The sequence below is a fragment of the Homo sapiens genome, chromosome 6 (genome assembly GCF_000001405.40).
Source record: "Homo sapiens chromosome 6, GRCh38.p14 Primary Assembly".
Classification (NCBI taxonomy): domain Eukaryota; kingdom Metazoa; phylum Chordata; class Mammalia; order Primates; family Hominidae; genus Homo; species Homo sapiens.
The window spans coordinates 105,771,699-105,781,232 of record NC_000006.12 but is presented as its reverse complement, the minus strand read 5'-3'; the positions used below and the strand labels follow the sequence as shown (position 1 = coordinate 105,781,232).

Genomic DNA, 9,534 nt, shown 5'->3' with positions numbered 1-9,534 from the left:
GTTTTGGCTTCCATACCTTAAAAAATAAAAATTAGGAGAAGCCTTATGGAAGAGCTATATGCATATATATAGTAAAAATATCGTTACTAAGGACCGGCATGGGGAGCCCCACCATGAAGATGAGGAAATGGGAGCCCAGAGGTAGTCGTCCTGGCTTAGGTCAGCCAGGGTCCCAGCCCCTGAGAGAGAATTGGATGTACCACGTCTGCTTGATCGGCTTGGCCCACTATACCTCATTGTTCTTTGGAGAACTCTTTCCTATTGAACTGAAGATGTGGGATCCCTAGCCAGAAGGAACAGTTCGCTGTGAATCAATTTATCCCATCACTTCGGCCCACAGGGAGAATGCTGGGTGGGATGCCACAGTTCCATGATGGAGCCTCAGCGTCTTCTGCAACAAAGGATGAATTTCAGAGTGACCACAGGAAAACAATACTGCTTTTGTTGTGGAAAATGTCCTCTAATTTTCCTCCTGGTTGTGGTTGCTGCAAAGGCTGTTTGTTCATGCAAGTGTTTATAGCATGCCTTTGCACTTTGTCAGGGGAAACTGGCCTTCCATCCTGCCATCTTGCAACACGACTTCTGAGTGTATTTCACTGATCCTAATAATAGACACTGTGGCAACCACCTGTACTTAAGGTCATTGTCTCATGGGTTTCACTCTAATGCTCTACTTCCTGGTGTCATAGTCAAGCTCTGAATGGGCACACCCCTTCCCAACTACATGAAAATATGTCATTAAGAAAACAAACAAAACAACTGGCTTCTCCATGAAAACCTCATGACTGACACTCCGTGAAGTATAGTGTTGATAAACCTGTTGTTCGTCCTCCCTAAGCGTGAGCTTGGTAGATGTCCACTACCTTAATCACCAGGCAATCTGAAGGAAAGTATTTTCTGTTATCGTTAAGCTTATTCATGAAACGTGGAGTGCGTTTATGCTTACATCACGCCAACTGGATTCAGTCGCAAGGACTGTAATTCAGACAATCCAGTCCTACAGGTCATCGGGACATATTTCTTTCAGGCACGATACCTATTTACACATTTGATACCTGACTTGTAACACACACTATATTCTTGAATAATAGAAACAAAGATGAGGAAAGCCCCAAGCGATACAGCACCGAGAACACTCTGGGCTTCTTGGGTTTGGTCACTATATTCCTTTCCCTTTTATTAGCTTCACCGTCCAAGTTGCTTAATCTCTTTTGGTTTGGTTGGTTCATCTATAGACTGGGGGTTGATAGTAGCATATTACCTACAGCCCACTTGACTGATGATATTTTATCACTGATGATATTTTAAGACTCCTTAAGGTCTCGTTCTTCCCTGCAGGTTTTTTTTAATTGATTCAAATGAAGGGCCCTTTCACTGCCACTGAGATTAAGTACAGTTGAATATAATCGGCCTCCACCTTTATTACCCCCACCTCCCTGCCAGTCCTGCTCCTGTTCAGGAATAAGTCAGGTGGCATTGGATGGTAATATATCATCAATTAAGCATCATCAGGTGAGCTCTCATGTCAAGATTCTTGGGTTCGAAATTTTATCCAATGATCTAAGTTAGATGGGCATAACCAATTCAGAGTGATCTTATCATGATCCAAATTATTTGTGCAGGTTCTTGGAAGTAGCAAGCATCCCTCTTTGTGCTGGGTTCCAACATATAGGAGCAGAAACCTTCAAACCATATTGTCCTTCCTCCTTATGCCTGCTTAGGGTTAAATAATTGTCTGATTGTAAGTTGTTTTCAGCACAGCTGGGCAAGTGGTTTTAAGAGATTTTAGAGATGAAACTTTGAAAACAATAACAACCAAAAGAAATGACTGTCGGGGATATATTTTATGATCATCTGCAAATAGTTACCACATAGAACGTGTCGTTAATAAACTGAATTACCCAACAGTCTTCCTTGCTGGATGTGCTCTGTTTCCTGCATGTGCGTCTGTTTTTATCACAGCTTGGCATCATTTTTAAAACATCTGGGCCCTGACAAAGGGGATTTGAGTACAAAAGAATTCTACGTAAAGTAAAACAACAACTTTCTCTCCTCTTTAATGTTCCCCTCCCCCATCTTGTTAGCTCCCCAAACTGTGGAAGGAGAGGCTTAAATCCAGACCCCCACATTCTGTGATTCCTACCCTAGAAAGTGCCCCCACCCCCCACACACACCTCTTTGGCTTAGCTGTGTTCTTTCTGTCTACTGAAGTTAGGTTTGGGTCTCACTTCCTTTACCTTTGAGTTTTTCCAAACTTTGATCACAACCCAGTCCACACAAACACACACACATTCACACAGTGTAATGTATTTAACAAATACTTACAGTATGTTCCGGGCACTGTTTTAAGCCCCTTAAAAATATTAACCCACTAAACCCTCATAACCCTACGTGGGAGAACCTATTATCCCCACTTCATAGATGAAGACACTGAGTAGCAAAGGTTTAAGTACATTCCCCAAGGTCAGTGCTAGTAAAAGTAGCATCATTTTGAACCCAGATATGGATTGTACTCTGGTCTGGTCTATTCTAGTCTAGTCTAGTCTAGTCTAGTCTATGACTCTGTTCTATTTTTTTTGAGACGGAGTCTTGCTCTGTCGCCCAGGCTGGAGTGCAGTGGCGTGATCTCGGCTCACTGCAAGCTCCGCCTCCCGGGTTCACGCCATTCTCCTGCCTCAGCCTCCTGAGTAGCTGGGACTACAGGCTCCCGCCACCACGCCCGGCTAAGTTTTTGTATTTTTAGTAGAGACAGGGTCTCACCGTGTGAGCCAGGATGGTCTCGATCTCCTGACCTCGTGATCCGCCTGCCTCGGCCTCCCAAAATGCTGGGATTACAGGCGTGAGCCACCGCACCCGGCCGAGTCTGTTCTATTTCTTTACATAAATGTTGATCTGGGTACACTAAGTTCCTTCAGTGTCATGAAAAACAGAAACGTATCACTTTATCTTTGCCATCATTGCAGTCTGATAGCACAGAATAAGTTGTATCACTAATTTGGCCTTTGTCAATGCTGTGATTATTTATCTTTGTGGATATTTAACACAGTGACTCTGGTAAAGACTGTATGGCTTGAACGTTGGTTAATATATTGGTGTCAATTGTTAAATGACTGTCTTTTGCGGGCTTCAGGGTCAGATCACACCCTTGTGGATGAGGGTAATGGTTATCATGAGTAGTGGGGGAGACCAGACCTTAATATTGGGGCAGAGGATAAAGCCTCGGAGAAAAAGGTCCTTATTTGGGACAGAGCTGTGATTTCTTCCTTTTTTGAGCTGGAGATGTGTTTGATCTGGACTTCACAGCTTAAAGAAGCCAGGGGTGGGTTCTGTGGTGGAAGGAGCTTTCTCTGGCTTACGTGATGGTCATTTGGGAGTGAAACAAGAAATCAGACAGTGAGAGACCAGGGGATGGATCTGGGTTTTGAATCAGCTAAATAGGCCTGGGCCTCCATGCCTGGGAAGTCCTCTCTCTCAAGACCCTAGTAGGGATACATTCTTGCAATAGAGACCCCAGGATATTCTTTAACGTAGTCCTTAATGAGTGTCCTAGGTTGGCACAGGGCTGTGCCCTACCCTGAAGGAAACTATTCTGGCACCTGGGTTCCTTCCTGGAGTTTATTCCATTGCCATGGATCTCAAAACGTGTGGTTCCTCAGAGCCAAAGCTATTTTGTAACAAGACTAAGACATTATTTGCGTTTTTTTCACTTCCTTTGTCCCATGAGTGTAGAGTTTTCTGGAGCCTAAGTTTTAGGTAATATTGCAACAGACTGAATGCATTAAGTGGATTATGAGAATCTTGCTATTTTCTTTTTTTTTTTTTTTTTTTTGAGTCTCACTCTGTCACCCAGGCTGGAGTGCAGTGGCGTGATCTTGGCTCACTGCAAGCTCCGCCTTCTGGGTTCACGCCATTCTCCTGCCTCAGCCTCCTGAGTAGCTGGGACTACAGGCGCCCGCCACCACGCCCAGCTAATTTTTTATATTTTTAGTAGAGACAGGGTTTCACCGTGTTAACCAGGATGGTCTCGATCTCCTGACCTCGTGATCCGCCCGCCTCAGCCTCCCGAGGTGCTGGGATTACAGGCGTGAGCCACCACGCCCGGCTGAGAATCTTGCTATTTTCTATTAAGCCAGACTTTAAAGACATTTGCAAAAACCGTGAACCAATGCCCCTGTCCTCACTAAGTTTATTTGCTAGAAACATAGTTGTTATTAATATTAACATATAAAATATTAAAATATTAATTAAAATGGTACTGATATTAACATGTAGTGGCTTTAAAATTATTTTAGTGAATTAATAAATATATATTATTAAATTCTCAGTTTTAATTTCTAATATAGTAAGTTTTACTAGAAATGACTTATATAAACAAAAATGTTGAAATCATTAATAGTTTTTAAGAGGGGAGAGAAGTCTTGAGACCAAGAAGTTTTAAAACAGCTGTGTTAGGGCACTGTTGTCTGAATGGTCCAATCTGGTTCACTACCATGACTGGATGAAGATAGCAGGAAGAAAGAAGAGAAGGGTTCTTTTCTATTTGTGCCTTTCTATATGGCTTCTTGAGCTTTGTGACATCATGGTGGCTAGGTAGCAAAAAAAAAAAAAAAAAAAAAAGAATTCCCACAGTGAACAATTCCAAGTGGATAAGGCCCAGTATGCGAGCACTTACCAAGCCTCTGCTACTCACATGACCATTTCCAGAGTCAACGTGGGAGGGAAATACACAAAGGCATGCATCCCAGGAGGAGTGATTCATTGGGTGCCACCAAAATAATAATCTACCTCAAGTGGATTTAGATAGAAAATTATACTTTTATTTTTGTAAAAAGAGGCTATTCTGAGCTATATGGATCATAAATCATATGTAATACCACATAGTCCATCTTTTACTTATGAGAAGTTGGGCACATATTGAATAATTTTTACCTGGAATACCAATTTTATTATAAAACAGTATTAAAATAATAGCAATTAAATTATTTAATCAATCAACTTTATTGCAAAGAATAAAATGACCTGAAATTGATTTCTTCTGAGATAAGTTATGAATTCTGTCCCCCTGATTAGACAGTGGCAGGGACTCCATCTCATACTTTTTTCCAACATTTAGGGTTACAGTAAGATGACATTTGAATTTGAAGATACATCTAAGATAAGTTCACGTTCTGAAATAAAAACTTGCAAAAATCAATACCTAAACGATGCCATCAGGCTGGTGGGTTGGAATTTGTGAATGTGTTGCTGATGATTAGGGTGCATCGTCTGAATCCTGTCCTGGAGACCAGAATATTTATGCAATACAATTCAGGCAACTAGCCTATTTGTTCTGGAAAATATAAGTGATTATAAAGATGCAGGTTGCAATCTACTTAATAGTATGATGACAAATATAATGGCAGCAAGGATGCTTTGAAGAACTGACTGTAAGGGAAATGAAGGTTAAAAAACTGTTACTGTAGTGACACACTGTTTATATCAGTTATTTCTTCCTTTTTATTGCTGAATAGTATTCTACTGTGTGGATGAAATATGATTTGTTTATCCACTTACAAGTTGAATGACCTTGTGTTGTTTCCAACTTTTTGGTGACTATGAATCAAGCTTCTGTGAACATTTGCCTTTGTATAGACGTATTTTCGTTTTGCTGGGGGTAAATGCATATGAGTGGGGCTCCGGGGTCACATGGTGAGTATATATTTAACTTTACAAGAAGCTGGCAAACTGTTTTCCAAAGTGGTTGCACTGTTTTGCATTCCCACCAGCAATGTGTGGGAGTTCCAGTTGCTCTACATCTTTACCAGTACTCAATTTTGTCCATTTAAATTTTTTTTAGCCATTCTAATAATGTGAGTTATTGTGGTTTTAACTGGCATTTCCCTAATAACAAATGATTTTGAGCGTTTTTGTGTATGCTGAGTTCCTATCTCTGTATTTTCTTTAGTGAATTGTCTGTTCAAATGTTTTGCCCATTTTTGATGTTGGGATTTTTGTTTTTCTATTGTTGAGTTTAGAGAATTCTTGATAAATTCTGGATGCATGTTCTTTATCAGGTATGTGTTGCAAGTATTTTCTTCTAGTCTGTGGCTTTTCTTTACATTTTTTTCAACTGTGTTTCATTTTTGATAGAATCTAATTTATAATTTTTCTTTTATGAAGCTTGCTTTTTGTGTTCTAAGAAATTTTATCTGCCAAGGTCAGAAAGATTTTCCATTTTTTTCTAGAGGTTTTATAGTTTTAGATGCCAGGTGTGGGTTGGGTTTTTTGCTTTGTTTTGCATATGGATGTTTCATCACTATTTGTTGAAAAGATTAAGCTTTATCTATTCAATTGCCTTGGCACCTTTGTTGAAATTGGGACTTTTGTAGATTTATTTATGGACTCTCTCCTGTTCCATTAATCTACATGTCTGGCTTCTTGCCAGTATCACACTATCTTGATTACAGTATAGTAAAGATTTATAGTAAATCTTGAAATCAGGTTTTATGAGTCCTCCAACGTTTTTTTTTTCAAGATTGTTTTGACTATTCTAGGTTTTTTTCTTTCAGTTGAATATTGGTTAAGTTATTCCCTCTAAACCTCAAGTTTCTCAGCTTTAACAAGTGGATAATAATAGTACCTACACCATAGAATTATTGGAAAAGCTTAAATTTTGTAATCCATTTAGTAACGTACCTGTCATGAGTTAATATTTCAAGAACTGTTAGCTATTATTTATCATTCTGTAGTTTGCATGACAGCTTTTCTACTATCTGAAACCTTGCACAGTAATATCCCCTTATCTGAGCTTTCACTTTGCATGCTTTCAGTTACCCAAGGTAGACTACAGTGAGAACTTGAGAGACAGAGAGAGAGAAAGAAGAAGAGACAGTACATCCATATAACTTTTATTGTAGTGCATTGTTATAATTGCTCTGTTTTATTATTCATCATTATTGTTCATCTTTTATTGTGCCTAATTTATAAATTAAACTTTATCATATGTATGTATACATGGGAAAGAACATAGTACATTATATATGGGAATCAAGTACTATCCTCAGTTTCAGGCAACCACTGGAGTTACTAGAACATATCCCTCACAGATAATGGGGGACTACTGCACCTTGCTTTATTCTACAACATGCACACACCTGCTGGAATAGTTTTTTTTGTGTGCGTGTGTGTGTGTGTGTATGTATGTGTGTAGGTTCAGCTACTGTAAAAAGTATTTTGGAATAACTGTTTGTTTAGTCAAGGAATTGAAATATAAATTTGAAAGGAGCATCCCAACATGGAAATATTTCTTGCATATCTCACTTTAGTAAGGGAATAATACTGTAAAACAATGAAGATTAATAAAAGATGCTATTGACTTTCTGAGTAGAGGAAGAAACAGCATACAGAACAGGAGGAAGATTGTTTAGAGTCAGATCCCAATAAATTTGTGTCTTGATTTGCAGCTTCTTAGCTATAAAACCTTAAATGCACTCTGTTGTAGTCACTTTTTTTTCTGAGGTGGGGTCTCACTGTGTTGCCCGGGCTGGAGTGCAATGGCACAATCATAGCTCACTGCAGCCTCGAACTTCTGGGCTCAAGCCATCCTTCTGTCACAGCCTCCCAAGTAGCTAGGACTATAGATGCATACCACCATGCCTTTCTACTTTTTTAAACTTTTATTTTCTTATTTTTAAATTTTTGTAGAGATGGGATCGTGCTTCGTTGGCCAGGCTGTGCAATTTTCTCATCTACATAGTGTCTCACAGTAGTTACAGTGAAGATAAGCAAGGTAGTAGCTGTGAAAGTGCTTTGTAAAGTATAACATGCTAAACCTATGGCTCCCAAATGTGTGCTGGGGTGTGCTAGAGTGCTACAGTGAAGTCACAGGGAGGTAGTGGGATATTTTAAATTTTCTTGGGAAGCACAATAATATCTGTTGGACCTTGCATGATATTTGGCCATAACTACTTAATAAATGAAAATGTTAGCCTATATTTTGGTTTAGGGTCCTGTAAAAAAAAATTACTGAGTTGTTAAGCATAAATGAATGAGAAAGCTTGGGAAGCTCCATGATAAACACCTGTTTCATAAAAGCCATAGAGTGTCAGTGTCTGGCATATATGTGAGTTATTTTTTTGTGGTTTTGTTACTTCATAATCTTTGATGTGCTTTTTTTTTTATATAAAGGGTCTTAGAACCCATCTCAGGAAATTTCATTTCCAGAAGAAGTATTGGGACAAGTTTGTAGCACCATCAAACATATACATGGCTTGATGGATGGCCGCCCCCATCCTCACTACTCTCCTCCACAAACACACAGAGAGATCCTATAGGCTAAGTGCTCTCCATGTATTAGCTCACTTAGTATCTGCCACATCTCTAGAGAGGACATTTCAACACTGTTATAGATGAAGAAACAGCTTGAAAAGGTTTTGGGACCCCAGTCCCTTGTATACCCACATACCCACCATGTGGTCTGCTAAGGAAGTCAAGAACTGCAGCATAGAGAATCCTAAAGTATTGATGTAATCCTGTGTAATTTACCAATATATTTTTAAAGCCTCATTGTGATCCTTTTTTTAATTATTTGAGGAAAAGTTGTTGGTGAGGTTGAATGGAGCTTGCCTGTAATCATTCTTGAATTCGTAATAGCATGATCCTGTTTTCCTACATCCAATACTTGACTCTACCAAAATCTGTGTGCTGAAGAACCAAAAGCATTTATATAAAGAAAACCCCAGTTTTTGTAAGTGCAAAATGGTACATGGATTTTTTTTTAATATATAAAAAATAAAAAGAGGGATAAGATGCCCATATAAAACTTTCGATCTCCTTTTTTCAAAGGAAAGTAATGAATTCATGATGTGGTAAGTTGCCTTCATTTCCATAAGACATATGGTTTCATAAACACAATTGGTGAAGCAAAGATGCTTGTTCAAAGGTTTCAGCCATGCAGCTTTTCAATGCCATAATGACTGGTTGATAATGAGAGACAGAATTTGCCAGGACTCGAATCCTCCTGAGTTTTGTGATATCAGCAAAGGAAGTCAATGGGGGTATGGCCTGGGATGGCCCCTGCTGTGCCTAAGTGCCTGTCATTCTCCCTCTCTAGGTACTCTGTTCTCCAGCTGGACTTAACCACCTGCAGTTATTCATACCAACATTCGCTCTTAGGTCTCTCTGCTTTTGTTGTTCTTTGTGTCCAGAGTCAGTGCTGTCCAAGAGAACTTTCTATGATGATAGAAATGTTCTAAATTTACATGGTCCAATACAATAAACACTAGCCACATGTGGTTATTGAGCACTTGGAATGTGGCTAGTGCAAATGAGAAACTAAAATTTGTATTTTATTTGATTTTAATTAATTTAAATATGCACAGTGGCTAGTAGCTATGGTACTGGACAGCATAGCTCAGATGTTTTTCATTTCCTTGCCTTTCTCCCCAACCTCTAGATCCTTACTGCCAGCTCACCTCCTACTCATTCTTCAAGACTTAAGAGTCAGTCTTTTGGGAAGCTTTCCCTAACCTTACTGCACCTTCTCCCTGTAAAGCC

The 9,534-nt window shown here is 39.3% G+C and overlaps 1 annotated feature.

Annotated features, from left to right (window-relative positions):
• Positions 533-733: a silencer, noted in NCBI's record as "peak5996 fragment used in MPRA reporter construct". NCBI's record gives its function as "represses an SCP1 promoter by STARR-seq MPRAs in K562 erythroleukemia cells {active_cell/tissue: K562}" and the evidence as "EXISTENCE:reporter gene assay evidence [ECO:0000049][PMID:32103011]".